The sequence below is a fragment of the Homo sapiens genome, chromosome 5 (assembly GCF_000001405.40).
Source record: "Homo sapiens chromosome 5, GRCh38.p14 Primary Assembly".
Taxonomy (NCBI): domain Eukaryota; kingdom Metazoa; phylum Chordata; class Mammalia; order Primates; family Hominidae; genus Homo; species Homo sapiens.
Genome location: NC_000005.10, coordinates 170,465,344 through 170,492,164, shown reverse-complemented (window position 1 = coordinate 170,492,164; position 26,821 = coordinate 170,465,344). Strand labels below are relative to the sequence as shown.

The 26,821-nt window shown below is 45.3% G+C and overlaps 1 protein-coding gene across 3 annotated transcripts in view, besides 2 other annotated features; it reads right to left on the bottom strand.

The window, feature by feature from the left end:
- KCNIP1 (potassium voltage-gated channel interacting protein 1) overlaps positions 1-26,821 on the bottom strand; it is a 383,146-nt gene that overhangs the window by 244,468 nt on the left and 111,857 nt on the right. Inside the window, exons 3-4 of one of the 3 annotated variants that reach the window (XM_017009408.2) lie at positions 6,189-6,295; positions 4,603-5,873 (exon numbers count right to left, since the gene is read on the bottom strand). The exons of the other annotated variants lie outside the window; for them this stretch is intronic. Of the exons in view, the coding sequence (XP_016864897.1) occupies positions 5,701-5,873; positions 6,189-6,295 (280 nt within the window). The 3' untranslated portion in view covers positions 4,603-5,700. Of the gene's footprint in view, positions 1-4,602; positions 5,874-6,188; positions 6,296-26,821 lie in introns of those variants that run through there. 3 annotated transcript variants of the gene reach the window in all.
- Positions 5,713-5,879: a silencer, noted in NCBI's record as "fragment chr5:169913290-169913456 (GRCh37/hg19 assembly coordinates)". NCBI's record gives its function as "represses an EF-1alpha promoter that drives an FKBP-Casp9 reporter gene in an ReSE screen in K562 erythroleukemia cells {active_cell/tissue: K562}" and the evidence as "EXISTENCE:reporter gene assay evidence [ECO:0000049][PMID:32094911]".
- Positions 6,695-7,195: an enhancer, noted in NCBI's record as "H3K4me1 hESC enhancer chr5:169911974-169912474 (GRCh37/hg19 assembly coordinates)". NCBI's record gives its function as "activates a minimal SCP1, AML or CMV promoter by ChIP-STARR-seq in naive H9 embryonic stem cells {active_cell/tissue: H9 hESC(naive)}" and the evidence as "EXISTENCE:reporter gene assay evidence [ECO:0000049][PMID:30033119]".

Genomic DNA, 26,821 nt, shown 5'->3' with positions numbered 1-26,821 from the left:
TGAGACTGGCCACTGGTGTCTGAAGTGGGGGCAGTTTTGTGGGACGAGGCCTTTAACCTGTGGGGCCTCTGCTAACTCTGGATAGTTAGTGTCAGAACTGGATTGAATTGTTGGGTACCCAGAACTGGTGTCCGAGAACTGGAGAAAAGTCGGCGTGAGCAAGAAAAGAGAACTACTCAACATTATTATGAAAACTCAGAAAGAGTCTCCCCAGAAAACAAGGGCTCCTCTAGAGTTTTACTACTGGAAGTCAGAGGGCCTTTATATGCCATCGAGCTGGGCCCTATTTTCACAGACGGCCCACGGAGGGGCGAAGTCTGTTTAGCAAAGCACAGAGAGACAGTGACAGAGCTGGGACTGCAACTCAGGGCTCTGGAAAGTTTCCGGCATATTTAAAATTCCCTGAGTTTGCTGTAACTGCCAAGACCTCCCCTGTAGGTCTAGATGCACATTTACTCTTGGCTTCCTGTGAGGCACAAATGAGCACAGGAAAAGGCCTCTGTCCAAAAATGTTCCTTCTTCCCCTTTACTAAATGCCCTTAAGATGACGTAATATCACATGAAGCTTAAACCACAAATATCTGGAGGAAGTTGGCACTGACCTGGAATTCAGACTGAAGTATAAATGACTGATATTATACTGTGAGCCAGATTTGCTAGGTAAGTGATGAGGAGGAAATATGAGCACTGGAGATTTGAATCCTGTTAGAGGGGTGGGAGATGTGGGCGGGGAGAGTAGCCTGAGGCCTTCAGTACATCACCGAAGCAGGTGTATGTGTTTAAAAATAGTATGAGTCCTGGCTGGGAAAGTCTGCACTAGGTAACCTTGTTTTCACTTCTGCTAGAATGCTACTTTGTGTGGTGCATTCATTCATTCATTCTTCATTCATTCTTCATTCATTCATTCATTCATCTACCATTGATATTCACTGCACTCCTGCCTGTGCCTGCCCCTGTTGCAGTTTCCAGGATACACTGGTGACCAAGATAACATTTTCTCTGCTTCATTCTCAGAGGGAGGGGAGGTCCGGACTGACAGTGATAGGTAAGCAAACAAACGAATCAGATCATGTCTGATGATAGCAGGACTCTACACTTGATCTTAGCCAAAAACCAAGAGGTGATGGTGATGTAGCACCCTAAACACAGTGGAAGGGCCAACTGTATTAGGGCTGAAGGGATCAGCCTGAGAAAGAAGGCCTTACAAGAAAAGGAGACTGATTGTGAAATTTGAATGACAGAAGTTACTTGTGTTTAGGATTTGGGGCGAGAGAACTTGAGGTAAAAGAAACAGCAAGGCCTACAGCCTCACAGAGTGGGCTGGGTGTGCTCAAGGTGCAGAGAGAAGGGGATGGGGCTGGGCCTAGGGAGCTTGGGGAGAGGTTGGAGAGGAGACAGAGGCCAGATTACAGCGGGCCTGTGGTGCTCCGTGAGGAGTGTGGATTTTATAAGCAGAGTAGTGAGAAGTCATGTGAGATTTTTTAATAACCTTTTCTTTTGAAAGGATTATAGACTCACAGAAAATTCCCATAATAATACTGAGAGGCCCTTGCACCCTTCACCCAGTTTCCCCCAGTGGTAACATCTTAGGGAACCACAGGACAATGTCAAAGTCAAAAAACTGACATTGGCATGGTCCACACACCTTGCTTGGATCTAACCAGTTTTATATGCACTCTTATGGGTGTGTGTATGTGTGTAGTTCTGTGTCATTTTATCACACACATAGATTTGTGTAAACACCACAGTCAAGATACCAACTGTTTCATCACCACGGGGGGCTCCCTTGTGCTTCTCAATTGTAGTTGCCCTACCCCCAGCCCGTCAATGTGGGAGAATTTCACACAGTGAAAGCAAGGGTGAGAGCAGTCAGCTGGGTCAGGGACATGGCCTATCCAACTTTGGATGTCCCAGAGGCCTTAGAACAAAGTAGGTTCACCATGAATACAGATGATTTTGAATGCCTTCACTTTGCAGGGGAGGAGCATGAACAGAGAGTTTAAACAACTCAGTCATGGTCACACAGCGCTTCTCATGGCTTACTGAGTATCTCAATGTACATGCAGGTATTGGCTGGAAGGTAATGGAGAGAACCTGTTGCCCCCACCTTGAGCCCTCTCAGTCTCATTCACTGGGGTGGGGTGGAGATGAGTGTGCTGGGAGACTGGTGAATGTCCTTAACCCTCAAACCCTGGAGCTCATCTCCTTCTTGCAGCTGCCAGGCTCATTATTCCCTGCACATGGCAGATATCCCAGGGCCGCCTGCAGGCATGTGGGGCTTGGGGCAGTTGGAGGGCAGACCTGGGGGAGACCCTCAGTTCTCCAGTTTCTTTGCTAGGGACCCAGTGGCTAAGTTTACTTCATGAGGCTGGAAATAGGGCATAGGTTTTAGCCTCAGGCTTCATTCCCCAGGATAGCTCCCGTCAGTTGTAAAGGGGGTAACTTCTGCCCTGAGCCTCCATTTTTTCTCAAATTGTTCATGGGAGAGGAGTATGAGTGATTGCTACCTTTCAACTTCAAGACCAAGCACAGTTCTGGGTCCAGAATGCCTGCTGCAAATAACATCACAGTTGTATTTTGCGTGGTCTGCTCAGAACTGTCTGAAGGTGTGGGTGCACACCAGTGGGAGGAGGCAGGGGACCAAGAGAAGGGGGTCTAGCAATATGGAGAAAGAAGGAGAGAGGTCAGGGGTTGGGGCAGCCCTGGGGCCTTTCCAGGACACTGAGGGAGAGGAGAAGGGCCGGCCCTTGCCCAGGGGCCTCCTGCACGAGGCCCTTACCTGCAGGACAGCCCTGGCCAAAGTCTAGCGGCAACCAGACAGTCTCATTCCTTCTCTGCTGACAATGTGCAAATCTTGATTGCCTATAGCATGGCTTTCTCCTTCTCAAGGGAAATTTCTGTCTGTTTCTGCCAGCAGTCCTCCATCTTTTGGGGTAAGTGCCGAGGTGACAGATGGAGTCATCGTCCCCTACCTCTTCCTTCAGTGCCTGCAGCCTCCCAGGCTGCTCCATCACCATTCCGGGGCCATTGGGTCAGCCTCCCCGCCTGGCTGGTCTCCTGCCCTCTGGCCTCCGGGGGAGAAGGCACATCCTTCCTCTCTAACACTAATGAAATCTTCCTTCTGCTCAGAGCCCGAGTGGGCTCGGGGTCAGTACTCTTACCTGCTTGGCTCAGCTCTGCACTCTGGCTTGGTAATTACACCCCACACCTCACTGTAGTCAGGCCCCGGCTCAGCTTCTCTGCACCGTCACCGGGAATCTTAAAAAGTCCTCTCCAGGCTTCAGGGACTGTGGGTGTGTAAATTCTCTCCCTTCTCTGGGTCCTCTGCAGGCCTGGCATTTGCTCACGTGGATGCTCCCCCCAGCACACACACTCAAGACACCCTTCCCCGGGCTCTGTTCCATCTGGCTGAGTCCCAGTCCTTGCTCTTGGCTTCGCTCATGTCATGCGGCCTCTCCCCCAGGGAGCCTTCCTTGGTTTACTTTACAGTCTCTCTCTACCTTCTGAGACCAACATGTGGTGCCTGCTTGCTTCTCGGAGCTCTGAACACCCGCTGCTGGGAGCACTGGGCTTTGTACCTTGTAGATGCATACACTAAATTGTGAATGGATGAGCAGATGAACAAATGAATATGTAATTATGTGTCTATCCTCCTCCTCTGATGCTTAACCGTATGTTACTTTGTTTTGCTTTTTCACTGCTTCATAGAGAGTGATGATGGAAAACCCTTGAAGGAAGGACACTTTTCCTACATGTGACTACTCATTCATCACCCAGGCTCATCCAGCAGACCTCATCTGCACCAGGCATAAGGACACAAGGGAACTCATGAAGCATGCCTCTGCCCTTCGAGAAGCCCTAATCTCAAGGCTCTTGGCCCTTCCTGGGATCCTTTTGAAGATCTGATGAAACCCTGAACTCTCTTCCCGGAAACACAAGCACATCAAATGGTAAAAATATGGGGTAAGTGTCAAGAAGCCCTGAAATCATAATTTAAGAACTGCTGGTTTGGTGAGAAAGAGAAGCAAGTTGATTAGGCAATTTTAATATCTTTTGCTAAAGGCTATTCCAGGAGGCACCATCAGCTTATATTGGGGGTTCACAGAAAATAAAGTGATTGACTCAGTTTGAGGTGGGACAGGGTGCTTCTAGTAGGTGGGATCAAGGAAGATATTTCAGAAGGGCTAACTCTTGAGGAATGAGTGGAAATTTATGAGGCAGTCAAAGGGAGGCAAGGAGGAAGGTGAACCAGCATGAACAACATGCAGACCAATGTGTTTATTGGTTGCCAGGAGCTGGGAGGAGTCAGGGTTTTTTTTCTGGGGCAAGAAAAATGTACTGTGACTGGGCCGTGCGCAGTGGTTCATGCCTGTAATCCCAGCACTTTGGGAGGCCAGGGTAGGTGGATACCTTGAGCCCAGGAGTTCGAGACCAGCCTGGGTAACATGGCCCCTGTCTCTACAAAAAATACAAAAATTAGCTGGATTTGGTGGCATGCGCCTGTGGTTCCAGCTACTCGAGGGGCTGAGGTGGGAGGATTGCTTGAACTGAGGAGGTGGAGGTTATAGTGAGTTGAGATCACTTCACTGCACTCCAGCCTGGGTGACACAGCCAGACCCTGTCTTAAAAAAAAAAAAAAAAAAGTTCCGTGACTATATCGTGATGATGATGACCTTGTGAACATGCTAAAAACATGGAATTGTGCACTTTAGAAGGGTTCATTTTATGCTACGGTATGTGAATTGTGTCGGTTAATTTTGCGTGTCAACTTGCCTAGGCCATAGTACCCAGTTGTTTGGTCAAACACCAGTCTAGATGTTGCTGTGAAGGCAATTTTTTCAAAGAAATTAACATTTAAAGCAGGAGTCTTTGAAGAAAGTGGATTACTCTCCATAATATGGGTAAACTTCATTGAGTCAGCTGAAGGCCTTCAGGGAAAAAGACTGAGGTCTCTCCCAGGAAGAAACAATTCTGCCTGCAACTTTTCCCTAGGCTTCTTGCCCTGCCAATTTTGAATTTCCCTTGACTACTTGCCCTGCCGATTTTGAATTTGCCAGCCCCTACAATCATGTAGGCCAATTCCTTAAAGGAAATCTCTTTCTCTCTCTAGATATATAGATATGTCTGTGTGTGTGCATGTGTGTAATATATAATAATGTGTATAATATATATACACACACATCCTGTTGGTTCTGTTTCTCTGGAGAACCCTGACTAATACATGAATTATACTTCAACTTAGAAATGTTCATTAATGAGGGATTAAATAAATTATAGTGAGACCATAAAAGACAAGTACACAGGCGTGTACCAGTGTGGTGTGCTCAGGGTGGCAGGTACAGGCTGGGGAGGAAAGAAAGCTGGCTGGGGCAGGCAGGGCCCAGACAATGGCTAACCTTGACTATCAAGCTGTGGCCCTCTCTTGCCTGCAGGATAGCAAATCTTAGTTGGGTTATTTTTGATTGCAAAAACCAGAAACTGACTCTGGCTGAAGAAGCTATGAGAAGGGTATGGGGCTCACACACCCAGAAAATGCTTAAGAACCAAATCCAGAAACTGGCAGGAGCCAGGGAAATCCCAGAAATCTTGGCAGCAGGAACTCATTACTTGGATTTCTTAAGGATAAATCAGTTGCCACCACTTTTTGTTCTTGATTCCTCTGGTCAAAATGCAGGATCTCAGGAAAGACAATGTGATTGGTCACATGTGAGTCCACGTGCCCAACCCTTGCACCGGAGTGCAAGGCAGAACCCCTTGTTTGAAATTTCTGCCAGTTGGGTGGTGTCTGCGGCTGCTGCTGGGAAAATGGGGAGTAGAGGCTTGCAGGTAGATCAGCTGGAATACATGGCACAGGTGACACTGGAATCCCTGACCTGCTAATGAATGAAAACAGGGCCTGATGTCCACTGAGTTGAGCAACAGGGCCTTTGTTACTGCAAGGACGTTGTCCCCACCTCCGGCTGTGTTAGGATCACAGAACACCTGTCACCAGGGAACAGAGCTTTTTCGCAGGTCCCTGATGTTTGTAGCTGTGTGACCTTAGTCAACACGCTCAGCCTCTCTGAAATGCAACATCTGGGGGAAAAAATGAAAGAAAAATGAAGCAAAAAGAAGAAGAAGAAGAAGGAGGAGGAGGAAGAGGAGAAAGGTAATGTCCTCATCTGTTTGGGACAGGCCATTTTACGCACCTTCTGGGCTTCTTAGGACGATAAAATGAGAAAACGCGTGGGGTGACGTCTGGCCCAGCGTCTGATGATTCAAATGCTCTGTCCCTCCAGTCTTGATGATGCTGAGTCTAGAGGAAGGGCAAAAGCAGCCTTTTCCAGTCTGTTTTCAATTAGTTTGAGCCCAGCTGGGGCTGGGGCTGGGGCTGGGGGTCCTTGGGCTGGGCTGGGTTGATCTTTCCTTGGGCTCCCTATTTTCTCCTCCTCCTTCCTGTGCCAGGCCCAGAGGCAGCCTGGAGGCCTTGGCCTTCCTCTGAGATCATGTCATCAGCAGCCCCTCTCCCTGGCCCCTTTGGGAAGGGAAGTGAAGCTCAGCCCTGAGAGGCGGAGGGTGGGCCTGGTGGAGACTCAGAGCTGCCCTAGCTCCCTTGATGATTCCTGGAGGCACTTCGCAGAATAGGGTTTATGAATCCTCATGACCCTGAAGGTGGGCCATGTGTCTGTGTGTGAGTCTAGGCATGCTGTTGACTCACAGGGCTCAGCTCTGGGCCACCAGCCACCCTCCCCGTCCACACCCTGGGCCCAGAGCTGGGCTCTGTGGGCTTGAGTTTGGGATGTGGAGAGGTGTGGTGAAGGAAGGAGCAAAGGTTTTATCCTTAAGAAATCCAGCTGAGGGAGGGAGGATGGGACTCCCTTCCAGGCCCAAGACCAGAGGCCCAGGCCAGGCCAGGGTTGTGTAGGGGGATGAAAGACCTAGATCTGGCTGGGTGCGGTGGCTTACACCTATAATCCTGGCACTTTGAGAGGCCGAGGCAGGCAGATCACCTGAGGTCGGGAGCTTGAGACTAGCCTGACCAACATGGAGAAATCCCGTCTCTACTAAAAATACAAAATTAGCCGGGCGTGGTGGCGCATGACTGTAATCGCAGCTACTCAGGAGGCTGAGGCAAGAGAATTGCTTGAAACTAGGAGGCAGAGATTGCAGTGAGTGGAGATTGCGCCACTGCACTCCAGCCTGGGCAACAAGAGTGAAACTCCATCTCAAAAAAAAAAAAAAAGAAAAAAGAAAAAACAAAAAAAAGAAAGACCCAGCTCTGAGCCCACTGGGTGTGGCTACAGAGAGGGAGGGTGGCAAATGGAAGAAGATGTGGAGAGGGCAGATAAGTGAGCCAGAGACACGGAAGGAAGAAGGGAGAAGCAGAACGCAGAGAGAGGGTGGAAAGGTGGAGGAGGGTTTGAGAGGCAAAGGGCGAAAAGGAGCCTGGCTAAGAGAGATTTGGGAAAGGAAGAGAGGGAGAGGGAAAGAGGGAGGAGAGAGAGAAGGGGAGGGGGAAACGGGTAGAGAGAAGGACATGTTGAGAGGAGAAGAGAAAGAGAATGGCAACAGAAAGAGAAGAGGAAGAAAAGACGAATGGGTAGACAGAAACAGAACAGAGCAATGGAATGAAAAAAGGAGAGACAAGGTGGGGAGCACACAGCCTTGGAGGGAGAGAGGATGCCAGAGGGAGGCCCGGCAGCCACCAGGCTCTTTCCAGCTTCCCCAACGTGCGATGGAGGGCGTGCTGGCTGGGAGTCACCTGCCAGCCTCCTGGAGGGCCTGCACCTGATCAGCTTGTTTTCGCCATCTGAAGCTCTAAATGGTCTATTATCACAGAGAGAGCTCTTCACGTGTTTCCTCCCACCGCCGCCCCCGAGGAACACGTGCTGTATTTGTGAGGTGACTCATCTGGCTGCCACAACCTCTGGGATCCCAGGCAGAATGCACGTTAGGAGTTCACCTTCAATTGGCCACAGGGCGGAGGAGACGAGGCCTCAGTGGGGAGAGGGTGTGGAAGGAGCAACTTGGATGTGCCAGTCTTCTATCCTGTGGGGGTCGGGCTGATGCAGATGGCCAGCGGGATGCTCTGTGGGGGGATGGCATGATGTGAGTGCCCCCTGCTCCCTGGTGCCTTTTTTAGGCTGCCAGTCTCACCGAGGGACCTGAGAACTTGTCTAAGAAATTCCTGTTTCTCTTGGCAGCAAAGTGATGAGGTGGAGAATGGACACTCTCTCTCCCTTCTGGCCACAACTCAATTCCCCCAGGCTGTCTAAGTGCATCCTACTTCTCCTTTGTCACATTCATCAGTCATCACGTCACACTCATTGTGAAGTATTCTCATTATCATTGCGTCTTGCATGCCAGTAGACTGAAAGCTCCCTGACTGCAGAATGAACCAACGAATGAACCTATTTGCACCTATTTGGGAATCTACTTGCACCTATTTGGGAATCTACAGATGCTGCGTTTTTATCCCATGGAGGTATTTTTGACAACCATAAGGAAGGTGAAGTTCAGAGACAGGCAGCCACTAACTTGCAGGATACAGCTGTAAAGATGAGTGGGGGATTTAACCAACCCAAATGTGACTGATTGTAGAGTTGTCCCAACCATCTGGAACCTTGCGGCCCCACACAGATCACCATTGACATGCATTACCCAAGTTATGGAGTGATTGGTACTCTCTTCTTGCATGTTAACCCAATACAACCAGCCAGATATCCTTAAAGAAAAAGAAGCGAGAGGGGCTGTAGCAGACAGGAGATGTGGTCTTAAAATGGAGAGGATGGCTAGGTCCACTTTAAGGGGATTTAGAAGGTGACTGCAGATCTGTGCAATATCCCAGTGATGGTCACTAGAGAGTGCAGGAGTTGCATCTCCTCCTGGGGAGGGAATGTTGGCTTTCATCTTTTTAGTCCAAAGGTCCCCAGCCTGGGATCACCCTAGGGTGTTCCCACCACCCTGGGTTCCTCTTGCCTCATAGTTACCTATGATTTTCAGGCCTGGATGAGAGGCAGGGCGAGTGAGCTCCATGGAAATACCTGTCTCCACAGCCTGCAGGTGCACACACGTACTGCCCAAGCTATCCGGCTCTGCGGGCCCCAGTTCCACTTTTGACTCCATCTGTCCTTGGAAACAAAAGGGAAGAAAGGCTGTTTCTTCCACCTCATACTTTAATTTAAAATTTAGGCTATGTTTTCTAGGGATGCATGGAATCTAGTCATGACCTATTTGAAATACTGAAAGACCAGATAAAACCTCTCAGGACAGAAGGGGTGGGACAATAGCACCAAAATGCTTCTCCTGATAATTGTCCCAAACTCATACCTCTAAACATCACCAGCGCTGTTTCAGTGGAAGGCAGAATTGGTGGAAGAAGGCTGTGGAAGTTATTATAATTTTGGAGCTAATAAAAACCTCTCTCAGACAGGCTTGGCCTTGGACGTTACTTGACTCCCACAGCATACCAGATGAAATCTGGTCTCTGGGGACTTTTAAATCATCAATACCCAAGCCTCAGCAAAGACAAATTACATAAGAATGTCTGGGAGCTATGGCTTTTGGGGAGAGTGATTCCTCAAAACACTAACATCAGATATATCTAATTCCAGGCTCTGCCACCGCTCATCTGTGAGTCCTAGAGAAATCACTTCAGTTACTTGATCCGTGGTTTCCCCAAAAGTAAAATGAAGCAAATCATGGTGCAAATTTCATGGGGCTGTTGTAAGGGTTTTATGATATAATAGCTGCAAAAGGCCCCGTACTGTGCCTGGCACACATTAGGGATTCAAACATTGGCCATTGTAATTTTACTGTTATTATTCTTATTGATAAATATTGACTAATCGCTGGCTAAAATTATACCCTTCTTTGAACCCTGGGGAAAGTATATGAACTTGATGGTAGATGGGCACTGCTGGGGGAAGATTAATGGAGGTGTCCTGTGCTGCCTAAATAATAAATCTCTTCTCAAAGTGGACTCCAAGCAGAAGTGTCTTTCCTGTTATCAGCTGGTTGGAAAATATTAATATCACCCACATTCTCAATTGGCCTAAAACACCACCACTAGAGGAAATGCTAACATGGCTGGCTTGGTTTAAGACATAGACTGCAAAGCATCCCGTAACCACAGCCAACATTCTGTTAATCTTATCAGAGGGAAGCAGAATGCTTTAGCAGCTGATGGAGGGCAGGGATTTAAAGAATTCACTTTACTACCTACAGAAACAAAGAACAAGACTTGGAAACGGGGGCTCAGAAGCAAGAAGGGATGATTTCAGTTCTGATATGACCATACAGACCACTCAGGGAAAAACCCACCATGGATGAGTTCCTTCTTGTCACTATGAAATAAACTATAAAGAGCGATTGCTATAAAGCATGGGTGGGGTCATTCTCAATATTTCTTTCTGTCAAGGTAATAAATCCCAAATTCATAAGCCCCTTCAGATAAGGTTAGATGCAGGCCCCTCACTAAGGTGAACCTGACCTTACTTCTACACCCTTCAATTGAGTGACCAAGGATTGATGAGAAATATCAAGTATTTCATAAATATTTATTTTCTAAATATACAACTATAGAAAAGTGAGGTGTAACATATAGCTTGGATGAAGGGTTAAAATGTTAAGTATCTCATTGAGAAAAATGTGTTTGACATTTTTACATTAGAACAACATAATGGAGCAATGCTCACGCTAAACTGGGAACACTAATGTGAACTCAACTTAAATATTTTCCCACTTCTGTCACTAACAGTGGACACAGCAGCAGCAGCAGCAGCAGCAGCAGGAGTAGTACTAATGCCCACCACAACTCTCCTGTACCCCTAAATGGCCAGACTTTGTCTCTAACAGTTTTCTCCACTTAAAGAAACAGGGGCTCTTTGGAAGGGTTGTCCTGAGTAGGGTAAAACAAATGGTTTAAGCCTGGAAGTTTCTTTTGTAACCAGAAAGCAAGGATGCTTTCTAGAATATCACAGGGTGGTTCTGGAAGGACTAAGAAGCTAGATTAAAGAGGTTTCCTCTGGTCAAGCTCTGAGATTTTGAATATCAAATAAGATTGATGGCTATAATCAATTAAAACACATGGAGTCTGTGAAGAGCTGTAAGTTCCTAATGAAGCTATGAAGAGAAAAGTTGATGTAAATGGCAAATGCGATAGGGTTTTATTTCATATTATTTTTAATGGCAGATTTATATATGGGTGATATTATTTCTTCTATTAAATATATGTTGGGTTATTAAGCATCGATAGGCACTTTTCTCTATCCTTGTAAGAAGGAAAGAGTGAATTTTGAATACAACTAATAGTCCTGGAAAAAAATAGAAATTAGTAGTCATGCTTGGTAACATGTAAAGAGGGAACTGATAACATGGAAGGATAATTGGCCAAATGTGCTCGTAAGGACAGCAAACTGCAGGGTTTAAATTCCTCGTCTTGGCCGGGTGCAGTGCCTCACGCCTGTAATCCCAGCAGTTTGGGAGGTTGAGGTGGGTGGATCACTTGATCCTGGGAGTTTGAGACCAGCCTGTGAAATATGGAGAGACCCCATCTCAAATACAAAAAATACAAAAAATTAACCAGGCGTGGTGGCATGAGAATCTCTTGAACCCAGGAGGCAGAGGCTGCAGTGAGCCGAGATCACAACACTGCACTCTAGCCTGGGTGATAGAGCGAGACTTTGTCTCAAAAAAAAAAAAAAAAAATCCCTAGTCTCCTAGGAGATGAAGCGCACTTTAGGAAACACTCTGGTCTCAGAAAAGGATACCAATGTGAAGGCACGGACTTTTATATTCTTAGGCCACATTTAAGCTCAAGTGCAATAATGTTGGGAGACACTTTATCAGTTTCAAATAAGAATCAGTAACCCCAGAGCTGGCTGGCCTGAGATTATTTTTCTTTTGGTTCTGAAAGAAATTTGTATTCTTAGGAGAAACTGTATCACTTCATACTCTAATCCTAGGAAACGATCGCATTGACTCTAAGAAAGTAACAGAGAAAATATAAGAATAAGTATAAAAGTACTTTTTAAAACCAATATATACCCATAATCTTCATGCCTTTGTAACCAGTGTAAAGGTAAGTGTGCATATATATTTTTCAATCAGTATGACGTTTTGTGTGCATTTTTGCTGACTTTTTAGGTGTTTGAAACATTTAAAAGGGTCTGACATATTAAACTTATGGTTTTATTTAAAAGTGTTGGAGAGTGTGGTTAAATAATTTTGTAAACAATGGTTTATAAGTTTGGGAATTTTTAATTGTTTCAATTTTTAATAAGTTTTTGATTTATTAATTGTGCAGATAGTGTTCGAATGTCAAGAGGAATATTGTTTAATAGATGTATAAAATTCGGAAGTTAAATGTTAAACAAAGCACAAATATGAATCAGGAACACTAATCAGTGCTTTGTTTAATATTTAACTGATTGCTGAGTCAGTTTTGGTGACAAATATCCTACCAATGCATCACAGCCAAGATTCCAGAGCCCCCATGTGGGCAAAACAACTCGGTATTACCCTTATGGAACTGTAGTAAAAGCAGAAGGGACAGATACATTTTTCCTTGGGGTATGTCATGCTGAGCTTGCATTTTACTATGGCGATTCTTAGAAAAGGAGAAGTCTTCATGTCTTAAAGGAATTGATCAAATGGAGCTTTTCTTGGTCCTTTGCAGAAGGTGATTTAATTCTTCTATTAAATATATGTTGGGTTATTAAGCATCGATAGGCACTTTTCTCTATCCTTGTAAGAAGAGTGAATTTTGAATACATCTAATAGTCTTGGAAAAAAATAGAAATTAGTAGTCATGTTTGGTAACATGTAAAGAGGGAACTGATAACATGGCAGGATAATTGAGGGGGATCTTTGGGACAGGAGTCCTAACCTCTCCCCCAGTTTTCTCTGGTGCTTTCTGCTAGTGCCTGCTAAGACCTGAAGTTTACTTGTTTTCCATCAGAACTCTGAGATTCTTATTTTATTAAACCATATAATCAGGATTTTATAGTCTAGGAAAACATAGACCATTACCTGCTCAGCGCCTCCAGCTAGTGACATCTTAGAAATACAAGCCCCTAGTTCTCTTAGTAACCAAAGGAGTGGAGTCCTTTCTGAAGGCTTGAATTCTATCTGACACTACACATTTGTGGATTTCTCTGCTTTGATGCCTTCTTGACAGATAACGTGCAATCCCCCTTTTCAAAGTCTAAAGAAAACAGGATTGAAACATTTGGGAGCAAATGCCCTGCAAATATGGCCAACCTTTTTTTTTTTTATCTTCCTTTTCATTAACCACATTGAGAGTCATGCATGAAACTTAGATCTATATTGGTGTTTCATTTATAGGAAGTGTTCAGCTGTCTGTCATTTTTATTCACCCTAAGCATCTTGAACATCCTACCGAACTGTAATCTTGAAAGCTAATGCTTCATGAGAAACCTTTTCTTTTTTTCTTTAGAGCATACAAGTGTGTCCTATTTAAAAGGAACCCAAGATGCCAAAATTCTCACATAGAAACTTAGACATCTTGGCAATTGTTCTTGCAATGGAAAACTGGGCTTGGTAGAGAGATGGTTCCCCGGGGAAACTGACCATGGTGGAGTCGCACAGTCTTGCAGTAAGCCTTCGGACACAGGCTGAGTTCAGAGTCCCTAGGGCCATCTGGAGCTGCCAGCCAGAAAGTAACACACCTTTGTGAGGATGGCAGCCCGAGGGATCTACACTCCATCAGGACTGCCATTAACAGCAGGTGTCCTTATGGGACTGGAAGGCCGGGGAAGCTTGTCCTCCAGCCATGAGCGTTGCATAGTCTCTCAGTCCATTAAAAGAGCCAAATTAAAGGAACATGCATCCTTTTCCTAAGTCTGTGATATCTTTCTAACCATTATGCTCCCAAACTTTATGATAATCATGTAATAACTAAACAAGGAACTTACAAAAGGTATCAAATGAATACAACTACAATAAAGTCCATTTGGATAAAGCCCCAAATCTTTACCTGCCCCTTCCCGCCCCAGGCCTTCTATCATTTGACCACTGTTGCCTCTCTGGCTTCATCTTGGCAGGTCCCCTCATGTGCCCTCTGCACTGAAAGATGGAGGTAGGTGTCTTGGACTGAACCTCCCAGGAGGCATGAAATTCTGAGATCCTTCAATGAGGCTTCTGCCATGAACCCTCCCCTGACACCTCCCCAGCAACCAGTTCAATTGGTACCATCTTCCCTGGAGGCACTTCTATTGGAGTTTTTTTGTCATACTCTACTGCAAATATTAATTTATAGATCTATGAAGATGTGGGCTCTGAGGACAGGACTGTGTGGGATTCATCGCTATCTATCCAGTGGCCTGTACAGCACAACACTCAAAAATGTTTGTTCAAGGAGTAAGCAACAGCCACTAATGACTCCAAACCTGGCTATCAAGTAAATAGATAAGAGCCAACCCGGCCAGGTGCTTTCACTCACACCTCTAATCCCAGCACTTTGGGAGGCCGAGGCAGGCAGATCACAAGGTCAGGAGTTCAAGACCAGCCTGGCCCACACGGTGAAACTGTGTCTCTACTAAAAAATACAAAAATTAGCTGAGCATGGTGGCATGTGCCTGTAATCCCAGCTACTTGGGAGGCTGAGGCAGGAGAATTGCTTGAACTGGGACCCAGGAGGTGGAGGTTGCAGTGAGTGGAGACTGTGCCACCGCACTCCAGCCTGGGCTACAGAACGAGACTCTGCCTCAAAAACAAATAAACAAAACAAAACAAAACAAAAAAGCCAACCCAGGAAATAAACACCTTTAGAGGGCAGTTATATCTCAGATTTTAACAAGAAATATTTACTTTCTAATATATATGTGTATATATATATATGTAATATATATGTGTATATATATATACACACACATCCCCAGAGTGAATTTACAGGTCCAAGTAACATATACTTTCTGATATATATATATATCTCCCCAGAGTGAATTTACAGGTCCAAGTAACATATAGGAAATGTCTTCATTTCTCAGCCCAAGAAAAGGCCATTTATTTACTGACTTATGTATTTACTTACTTCTACTTTTTTGAGCAGTCTTAGGTTCACAGTAAAATTGAGCAGAAAGTACAGAGAATTCCCATTTATCTGTCTCCATACACTTACAGCTTCCCTCACTTCAACATTCCACATTACAGCGGTGCATTTATTACAATCTGTCAACCGACATTAACACATTATTACCACCCAAAGTCTATAGTTTACATTAGGATTCACTCTTAGTCTTGTAGGGAAGGCCATTTATAATGTACATTCCCAAACTGTCTCTGTGCTTGGTAATTTATGTTGAACATTACTGCGAGGATGTGGTGAGAATATTTTCATTTTTCATGAATAGAAGGATCTTGAGACTCTTTGATATATGGTAGAGAGTGATGTGTTAGCTGGTGGGATAACAATGCTTTTCCTTAAGAGTGGATGTCTAAAGCAGAAGTCAGCAGAAACAGGCGATTTTCTGTACCAAAATTTGCCTTACGATCAAAATTTCAGGCCCGCAGCCATTTCAGCGGGTCATAGCACTATCCCAAGACCGTAACTTTGATACAAGCCACCACTGAAAGGTCAAAATTCAAGACAAATTGTCATACTGCTATTTTTTAAGGCTAAACAAAAATTTTTCTATTCATATTGTGTTTATCAACAGTGTGCTTTTAACTAATTAGCCATGAAGAAGGGGGAGATTGGAACAGAGGAGAAGTTTACCATCTAATGTATGACACCAAGACAGTTCAGTCAAAATGTAGAGAAAACAGAATCTGTTTGTTCCGGCTGGAATTGAGAGGACAGTTCAACACTTCGATATTTCATCATCTGTTATTGTAATTAGTCAGAGATATGAGCATCTAAAAATTTGGAACTGCTAATTAGAAACAAGTTTAGGCTGGGTGCAGTAGCTCATGCCTGTAATCCCAGCACTTTGGGAGGCCAAGGCTGATGGATTGCTTGAGCTCAGAAGTGAAAGACCATCCTGGGCAACATGGCAAAACACTGTCTCTACAAAAAATACAAAAATTAGCGAGGCATGGTGGCACAGGCCTGTAGTCACAGCTAGTCAGGAGGCTGAGGTGGGAGAATCACTTGAGGCTGCAGAGGTTGAGGCTGCAGTGAGCTGAGATCGCACCACTGCATTCCAGCCTGGGTGACAGAGTGAGACCCTGTTTCAAAAAAAAAAAAAAAGTTTAAACCAAAATTGTTCTAATAATCATTTCTTCTCCCTGACCCCAGAAAAAGCATGGGCCACTTGTCACCCCTCAACCTACTCCTGACAAGGGGGTAATATTGGATGATTCAGGATTTGGCTCTGAGCTGGGAATAGGATCAGTTTCTTCTCGGCAGGGGGTGGATTCCTGAACAAAATTGGGTCTGTTAGTAAGGAAGTAGGGGGAAGGAGGGGAGGACATGGAGGTGGGCTAGATAATCAGTCTGTTTTGGCTTTGAGGTCCTTTGTGGCTCTCAAATAAGAACCCCCCACAAAGAGGCCCTGCTGCAGTTGTGTTTGGAGCAGCATCCAGAACAGAAAGATATATTGAGATTTCCTGTAACTTTGTGACTTCTCCTTTTGTTTTGTTATTTTTATCTCCTCTATTTCCCTGTCTTACCAGCAGTGAGAGCCCTTAACTTAGAACAACCTAAGAAAAGCTGCTGTCTTGTTCCAGGACAGCCGTGTGGGAGTCACCTCTCAGTGGGTCTGCAGCAGGAGTCAGGGAGGTTCCTCCCAGCACCGCCCTCCTCTTCTAGACAGAAGCAAGTGGACTAGCTTCCGAAGCTTTGTTCGAATAACACTTAGGCCATGCCTGGCACGCAGGAGCTGGTCAATGTGAGGCTGAAATAAATGTGCAGAAATGGACATGGTAGAGAGGGAAGCCAAGCAATGAAATAAAAAAGCTTGGAGGTTGGTCACACTGAGAGGTGAAGCCAGCTGGACTTCTGGGTCGGGTGGGGACTTGAAGAACTTTTCTGTCTTACAAGGGGATTGTAAAATGCACCAATCAGCACTCTGTAGCTAGCTAGAGGTTTGTGAAATGTACCAATCAGTGCTCTGTCAAAATGCACCAATCAGCACTCTGTAGCTAGCTAGAGGTTTGTAAAATAGACCAATCAGCACTCTGTAAAGTGGACCAATCAGCACTTTGTAAAATGGACCAATTGGCACTCTGTAAAATGGACCAATCAGCAGGACATGGGCAGGGACAAATAAGGAAATAAAAGCTGGCTACCCTGACCAGCGGCGGCAACCCAGTGGGGTCCCCTTCTACGCGGTGGGGGGTTTGTTCTGTTGCTCTTCACAAAAAATCTTGCTGCTGCTCACTCTTTGGGTCCTTGCCACCTTTGAGGGCTGTCACACTCCCCGTGAAGGTCTGGTGGCTTCATTCTTGAAGTCAGCGAGACCACAGACCCACGGACACAACACCTGGGTTCCACTCGCAGCATTGCTGTTTCCTGGTTGTGTGACCTTGGACAAGTCACTTACCCTCTCTGAACCTCCGTTTATTCATCAGCAAAATGCAAGTAATACCACTGAAGCTAGAGGAGTCTATGGGAATCAGAAATAACACATGTAAAGCTTAAGGTCTGGGGCCTGGTGCTTACTAGGTGCTCGATAAATGGAAGCTGACTTCTCTCATAGACCAATCCTCTTGCAGGGGAGGGAACGGTGGTTAACCCCCACACTTCTAGGTTCTTTGACTGAGCTATAAATTAAATTTACATAAGACAGATTAGCAGAAGCAAAAACATTTATAATTACTTGCATAGGTATGGGGGGCGGGGGTTCCCACAATACATGAGACTCAAAGTAGGGCCAGATGATTGAAGCTAATGTAGCATCCTGAGCTACAGAAAGGAATAGGGGTGCTTTGGGTTTCTCGGAGATGGTGGAGTTCTTGGAGGGTAAGGGGAGGAAATGTATGATAAGTAAAGGTTGTCTCGTTATAAAGATAAAAAGCCTCTCGGGTAATAGAAGCTGTCTCTGAGCAGCCCTCTTCCTGATACAGATTGTTTTACTAATGTGGATTTCCTTTATAGATGTAAATTTCTTTTACAAAAGGACAGCTTTTCAGAGCTACTCCTGTGTCTGCAGTTTCTCATAATAACTAGCTTGAAAAATGCCAAAGTAGATTTTGCTGTGGCAGATTCCTGGTCGCCTACAGTCATATTTTGGAGTGGTGTGTCCTGACGCCCAACGCAGTCTAATTATTTTCTAAATTCCTGTGCCATATCCTAGCCCTGTGTCACCTGCACCAACACTACCCTGTCTCGTTGCTCATGCCACACCCTGGTGTGAGGCTGGGTCAGAGAACTGGCAAAGATACTGGGACCCTGTTGGCATCATGGGATTTGTGGGTCAGCTTCCCTGGGGGTGAATTGCTGAACAAAATTGGGTCTGTTATCAAGGAAGTGCAGTCGAGGGAAAGGAGGAAATAGAGGGGGGCTTTGTGGATGAAGTGGCAAGAGTTCAGTCTGTCCCCTTGGAAGACCACAGGTGTGGGATATCATGAGTGCAGGTGTCACTGACGGCCCCCATGCTGAGCTGCCAGGGGCCCTGGTGCTCAGCCGAACCTCTGCTTTCCCTTAGACTTCGGTGTGAGGTTGCTTTGATTATTAAAAACTCCTGGCCCCTCCCTGATTTCTCAGGGGTGATGACTTTATTGGTAAGAAGGTAGACTCTGGAGTTGGCCAGAGTTCTAATTCTGGTTCCACCATTGACTGGCTTTGTAACTTCGGGCACGTTGCTTTTGCCTCCCTATGCCTCAGTTTTCTCAACTATAAAATGGGCATAACACTGGTACACATTTTACAATATTAGTAACAAGTACAGCAACTGTGAGATTTAGCCAGCTAATACATATGACAACATGACATCCTTGGCACAGCGTCTGCAAAGCACTTAATAAATGTCAATTATAAACAATTCTCAGAAAAAGATATACAAATGGCTAAGAAACATATGAAAAAATGCTCAACATCACTAATGATAAGGGAAATGCAAATCAAAACCACAATGCGACACCACCTCACTCCTGTAAGAATGGCCATAATAAAAAATCAAAAAACAGTAGATGTAGGTGTGGATGCAGTGAACAGGGAACACTTCTACACTGCTCGTTGGAATGTCAGCTAGAACAGCCACGATGGAAAACAGTGTGGAGATTCCTTAAAGTACTAGAGGTAGAACTACCATTTGATCCAGCAATCCCACTACTGGGTATCTACCCAGAGGAAAAGAAGTCTTTATATGAAAAAGATACTTGCACACACATGTTTATAGCAGCACAATTCGCAATTGCAAAATCGTGGAACCGACCCAAATGTCCATCAATCAACGAGTGGATAAAGAAACTGTGGTATATGTAGATACAATGGAATACTACTCAGCTATAAAAAGGAATGAATTATCAGCATTTGTAGTGACCTGGATGAGATTGGAGACTATTATTCTAAGTGAAGTAACTCAGGAATGGAAAACCAAACGTCGTATGTTCTCACTGATGTGTGGGAGCTAAGCTATGAGGACGCAAAGGCATAAAACTGATACAATGGACTTTGGGGACTTGGGGGGGAGGGTGGGAGGGGGGCGAGGGATAAAAGATTGCAAATGGAGTGCAGTGTATACTGCTTGGGTGATGGGTGCACCAAAATCTCACAAATCACCACTAAAGAACTTACTCATGTAACCAAACACCACCTGTACACCAATAACCTATGGAAAAATAAAATTTTTTAAAAAGTCAGTTATTACTGTGATCATCAGAGACCCCCAATTTCACCCCATCCCTTACCCAGGCGGGCGGACCTACAGGACTGTGGGGCAGGCGCCGCCCCAGCGTCAATCCACCCTTGCAGTTTTGCCTCCATCTGCCTGGGGAGGCCTCTCATTGCGAGAGCTTTCTTCTGAATCTCACAGTGGCTCTGTCTGGTTTGGACTGAGATGATTCCCATCTTGTACATGAGACAGCTGAGGCCCAGAGAGGATGCCTTCCTTCAGCAGGGTCTGAGCATAGTCTGCAGCAGGAGGAGGATTGAGTCCCAGGTCTCCTGACTCCATGTTTGGTGCTCATTCCATCCCATCCTCAGCGTCTGGAGAATAACGGGGGTGGGCCGGCAGAGGAAGGGTCAGGAACTGCTTCCCCAAACCCAGCTCCTGCAGGAGGCCAGAAAAGGCTCTGACACTTCCACCCCATAGCCTTCATGCCTCCCACGTGGCTGCCAGGAGGCCTCTGACGGAGATGTGAAAAATGAACCAGTAAATGTATCATGACTTGTGAGGCTGTCTTAATAATTAAGTTTTATTAAAATGAACACCAAGAAATTTCCTGACATGGTCTGCCTGGTGGAACTCATCAAAAGGTGATAAATGAGTGGGTTCAGGGGAAAGAGGATCTAAAGGAGGAAGTAGGGACAGAGAGAGAGGCCCCAGGGTGGAGAAGAGAGGGAGGAGGCAGGGGGAGGCTCAGGAGCCCTGAGCAGCAGTTCAGTTCAGCACCTGGCCCGCTGCTTCCCTGCTTTGCTTGGAATTACTGCTGAGGGCACTCAGGGCCTTGCAGACTGGCATGTGGAGCCAAGCTTCAGTCACGGCGGACTTTAAATCCCAGCTGGGCCACTAGTAACTGTGGCAGCTCTCCTTCCTGGGTCTTCCTCCCTCCCTGAGCTGTGAAAAGGGAGATGGATCAGAACAAACTACCCTCGCCCTTGAAGGGAAGTGGATGGCCATCCATTTATGGAAAACTTGGTCATCCGATCTGGTCTGCAGACATTGACTAATATACTCACCAAACAGTGGTTTCTTCTGGACAAGGTATTGGGACTGGGGAGGGTGTTGTTTAGAGCAACTCTCTTATTTGGGTTTTCCACAATAAGCATTGATTGCTTTTGTACAGAAAATGAATGAACACTTCCACCCCATACAGATTCTAGAGCACCCAACCGATAGTTCAAGATAGGGGGCGAGATGGAGCACAGACCCCTCTTAGGAGCCTGCCAGGCACTCCTCTCCCCAAGCATGGAAATAAAGGAAAATCTAGAAATTCCAGGCACGTAGCAAGCCTTGAAAAGTAAATGCGCAACTTGACAAGCAAGAAGGTAATAGTAGCTTAAGACAATAGCCAAGGAAATTAGAGTCATAGGATATTTGGTTTCCTGTAGAAACTAAAGATAACATCTCAACCTACGTCCCTGAGTTGTGTTTCAGAAACCCAGACCTCCACCAAATGGAAAGTGCCATCTGCAGGCACAGAGACCTTGGATAAGGGGAAGCTGAGGACCGAACTCCAACCACCATGCTTTCTCCTAAGTTTCTTGCTGAGGGACCTGGAAGAGATCATGCCCACGGGCAAGAGCTAACGTTCTTTTCTGCCTACACCAAAATTTTAGACAAAACTTCACCTCCTTAACCCATCACAACACTGAAAAATCTTTGAATCCACCTTTCACTTGCCACACTCCCAAACTTCCGCTTCAAGATGCTTTGCCTTTTTAGGCCAAACCAACACATAGTCTCCATGTATTAATTTATGATTTTGCCTGTAACCTCTCCCCCTCTACCTTTAAAAACCCTTACCTGTAAGCCATCAGGGAGTTCTGATCTTAAGCATGAGCTGCCCAATTCTGCTTGCTTGGCGCCCTGCAATAAATGCCTCACTTTCTCTGGCTGCAATCCCAATATCAGTGTTTGGCTGCACTGTGCCGGGTGGGCAGACCCAAGATCAGTTCGGTAACAAGAGTAAAAGTCTGCTGAGAGACAGGTCCTGCCCTTGGGGAGCTCACGGTGGTCTAGGGGAGAGGGGGCATAGGGCAATTCTGTTACAGGCATGTTGATTCTGTTGTGTTAAGGGCTGGGGCAGAGGGAAGCCCAGAGTGGCTAATGTGGGGCATAGGGAGGAGCCTCAGGAAAGGTTTCCTGGGCAAGGGGACACCTGAGCTGAGATGTGAAGAAGAGCTCTTTTACTATTTAGTAGAAGAGAGGAGGAAAGGAGAAAGTGGGGGCCAGATGTGCTCAAGTGAAAGTGCAGAGGCCTGAATGAGCACTGGGAATTCAAAGACGGGCAGCTAGTTCTGTAGGAATGGGGCGACAGCTCAGATTGGCTCTTCCATTTTCACACAGGGATATCAATTCCACTATCTGCCTGGCTGATAACTCTGCCCTCAATCAAGAATAACGGCATTCTGGGCCTTGCCAGGAAATACGTGAACCTCTGCTGTCCCTATCTCTTATTAAGAAAGAGAGAAAAGCTCTATTGAAAGAATTGTTATTTATGGAGGATTGAGTGAAGGACATTCATTCTGCAAGAGTATAGGTTTTATCCATGAATCAAGTCAGGTCATCAGAAAACTTGCACCCAAGGACAGAGAGATCAATGGAAGAGAATGGAAAGGCCAGAAATAGACCCAGATACAAATGGGAATTCATTGCTAGATAAAGGTGGCTTTGCAATGCAGCAAGGAAAAGATGGCTCACGTGTTGAAAGCCGGAGAGTAAGAGATATGAGAACTGAGAAGCCTCTAGCGGGTTTGGTAAGGTGGAGGGCATTGGTGCCCTCAGAAAGCACAGTCTTGGTACAGTCAGTAGCTGGGGAGGCAGGAAGTAGAGACAGTGAGAGGATCCACTCTTGAGAGAAGTTTGGGCACAACCCAGAGGGGAGGCATGAGGCCACACCCCAAAGGCGATGAGGAAGGGAGAGAGGGATGTTAATCTTTATTCTTATGGGAAACATGAACATGTTTTTAAGATATATTGTTTTTTGTTTGTTTGTTTGTTTTGAGGCAGGGTCTCCCTCTGTTGCCCAGGCAGGAGTGCAGGGCGTGATCATGGTTCACTATAGCCTTGAATTCCTGGGCTCAAGTGATCCTCCTGCTTCATCCTCCTAAATAGCTGGGACTACAGGTGTACACCACCATGCTCAGCTAATTTTACATGTTTTTTTGCAGATCGGGTCTCACTATGTTGCCCAGGCTGATCTTGAACTTCTGGCCTCAAGGAATCCTCTTGTCTCAGCTCCCAAAGCTTGAGGATTACAGGCATGAACCACCACACCCGGCTCAAGTTATCTTGTTAAGCACAAAAGCAGTACAGAATGTTAGATGCAGAATATATCTCTTTGTTTAAAAATGGGGCTGGGGAGAGATTCTATGCTTATGCAAATAACATTTCTGGGCAGAAACACAAGGAACTTGTAATGATGGTTACCTCTGGGAAATGGGGCAAAGGGCTTCAGCTTTTTCCTTACATACTGGTTGATTTTTTTTTTTCATTATAGCCATTAAAAAAATTTTGTTTGAGACAGGGTCTCACTGTGTCTTCCAGGCTGGAGGGTAGGGGCGCGATCTCGGCTCACTGCACCCTCCACCTCCTGGGCTCAGGTGATCCTCCCATCTCAGTCTCCTAAGTAGCGGTGTGCCACCACATCCAGCTAATTTTTGTGTGGTTTTTTTTTTAGTAGAGATAAGGTTTCTCCATGTTGCCCAGGCTGGCCTCAAACTCCTGGGCTCAAGCTATCCACCCACCTCGGCCTCCCAAAGTGCTGAGATTACAGGAGAGAGCCACTGCACCTGGCCTAATGATATTTTTTAAATAATAAAAAAACTATTAATTAGATGCCCTCAAGAGCAGCTCTTAGGCGCCAAAAATATTGATGAAAGGTTTCTTTGTTTTTCAAAATTAACATTCAATTTATTAAAGTAACAAATTCATATGGACCCAAGTTCCTCCATAAGCTTTGAAATTCAGCTTACGAATCTTATTATTTATTTATAGGTCTAGCAAATTTTAACAATCACATTTAAGAGTACCTTTGAGAAATGTTTCGTCTCATTTACAAATGTTTTTAATTAAATTGCTCTAAACATTGTAAACTGCATTTATAGGCTTAATATATTTTAATTCCTTTTTAAGTACTTCAATTGTCTAACAAACCTTCTCAGATATTTAAGTAATTGTTATAAATCTAATTCATTAAACTTCTAAAGACGGCAAGGCTTAAATTCTTTTACAGGTTCCAAATCTTATTTAAATACAGTAAGATTTCAACTTAGAATCTGATGTCAAAGTCAATTGCTCCGTTAAACATTTTATATTAGAAGGAAAAGTTCATATATGACTCTGAAAGGCCACAGATTCTTAAACATTACAAGTGTGTAAACATAGCTTATTTCAAAGCACAAATATCTTAATAGAAAGAATATAGTTCTATTCCATACTTCTATACTTAGTTTCCTTTTTTTTTTTTTTTTTTTTTTGAGATGGAATCTGACTTTGTTGCCCAGGCTGGAGTGCAATGGCGTGATCTCAGCTCACTGCAACCTCCACCTCCTGGGTTCAAGCGATTCTCCTGCCTCAGCCTCCTGAGTAGCTGGGACTACAGACAGGCGCCAACACACCTGGCTAATTTTTGTATTTTTAGTAGAGATGGGTTTTTGCCATGTTGATCAGGCTGGTCTCTAACTCCTGACCTCAGGTGATCCACCCGCCTCGGCCTCTCGAAGCCCTGGGATTACAGGCGTGAGCCACCGCGCCCAGCCTATACTTAGTTCTAAATCTTCCTTGGGTTAGAAGATGCTCACCTATGGTCCTGCCAATGTCATCTTCCTCATTCTAAGAACCTGAGCGTGGATGGGGCCTCCCTCTGCTCCCTGCTACCTCCCTGCCCCTGCACCAGCCTCTCCTTCTTTCCACTGGTAGTAAAGAAGCTGTTCCTCCTCCCCACTCAGGCCAAAACCACCTTTGTTTTGTGAAGATCCTCCAACTTTCTTATTGGGTTGGTGCAAAAGTAATGGTGGTCTTTGCCATACTTGCCTGATATTCATCATTCTTTTCTCTCATATAGATCTAATTGTTTCCTCTCAGCTTGGACAATGTCACATCAGCATTTTAAATGTGCTCAGGTCTCTCTCTTAAATACAATAAAGCTAAAAACGTCGACCTCTGCACTGTATTAGTCACTTTCCTGTCTACCTCTGACTCACGGCCAGCTGCTTTCAGAAGCTGTCTACACTGGGTATCTTCATTTCCCCATCTTTGCCATCCGCCAGCACATTCCATCTGACTGTGCTTGTCAACTCCGCCAAAACTTCTCTCCCTAAGGTAACCAGTGATAGTCATGTCATCACATCCAATGCCTACTTTTGAGTCTCGGTTTTATTACACTCACATTCTCAGTAATGTTTGACTCAGGACTTGGTTTATTTGAGACATTGTACTCCCTTGCCTTCCATGAAATCATCCTTGTATGATTTTCATTCATCCTTCTTGGCTATTCCTCCTGCTATAGACTGAATACTTGTGACCCCTAAAGTTCATATACTGAAATCTTAACCCTCAAGGTGATGGTACTAGGAGGTGGGGATTTGGGGAGGTGATTAAGTCATGAGGGTGGAGTCTTCATGAATGGGATTAGCGTCCTCATAAATGAAGTCGCAGAGAGCTTCCGTACATCCTCTACCATGTGAGAACATAGCCAGAAGGCAGCATCTATGAGCCAGAAGGCAGACTCTCACTTGCACCTTGATCCTAGACTTCCCAGCCTCCAGAACTGTGAGAAATGAATTTCTGTGGTTTATAAGCCACTCAGGCTATGGTACTTTGTTATAGCAGCCTGAATGCACTAAGACACCTTTTCTGTTTCTAATAATGGATTTCTTTTAGCCTTGGCCCTAGATCCTTTACTCATTTCACCCTCTGCTTTTTCCCTGGAAATTCCATCCATTTAAAAATTGTATTTATTTTATTACCATCTCTTTGCAGATGACTGCTAGGGTTAGATCTTCACCCCAGACCTTTCTTCTAAGCCCCAAACCTACGTATCCACATTCTGACTAGACATATTAATGTGGATCTACATATCAGCTTGAACTCCTGCTCTCTCCCCTGCTAATCACATCCTCCTCTTGGGTGTCCTTTCTCAGTGAATGACACCACCGTTCATTCTGTTTGCAAGCCAGATTTGGGAGTCACTCTTGACATTGCCTTCTCTCTCTCTACCCCATGCATCATCTGTCACTATTCCCTGTACATTTTAATTTAGAAATCTCTCTTAAACCTCCCCACTTGTCTTCTTCTCAATTTGAGCCTCCCTAGCCCCAAGCACTATTATTTCTTTACTGGAAAAATGCACTAGTCCCCTCCTTGGTCTCCCACATCTGGCCCGTGGTACACATCCTCTCACTTGTCTTCCAAACCACATTCATCGTTCCGGTTAGTTACAAACATGGGCTTTCTGACCCTCCCCCTGTTGGATTCTCCTGCTGCTTCCTCCTGCTCCATGTGGTTCAGAAACATTGGTCTTCTTTCAGTTGCAGGAATGGACCATCTCCCTCCCTCTTGGGACCTTGCACTTGTTCTAGAATGTTCTTCTGAGGACCTTCCCCCAACACCTGCTTAACTAGCAAATTTCTTCCCATTTCTTAGGTCCTAGTTCAAGAAGCCTTCTCTGCCCTCCGGACCCAGATAAGGTTCAGAGCAGTATCTGAATACATGTATTTCTCTCTCACTCTCTCTCTCTCTCTTTCTGTCTCTCTCTTTGTGTTTGTGTGTGTGCGTGATGAAGGTCTGACTCCACCAGTGGACTGTCCCTTGAGATTAGGAAGTATCTATTTTTTTGTTTCTTCAGTGTCGTCAGAACCTAGCACAGTACTTGGTACATAGTAGGTGCTCAATAAAAGTTGACAATGGCAAATGCTTCGGAGGCCAGTGCCCTTCACATCCCTTGGTTCCCTTGGATGAAGACATTTCTTTGAGCAATAACAGCTTGGAAAAGCTCAGTTTTCTCTAAAGGACTGATGTGTGAGAGGGAAGCAAGGGAAGGAGGATGGAAA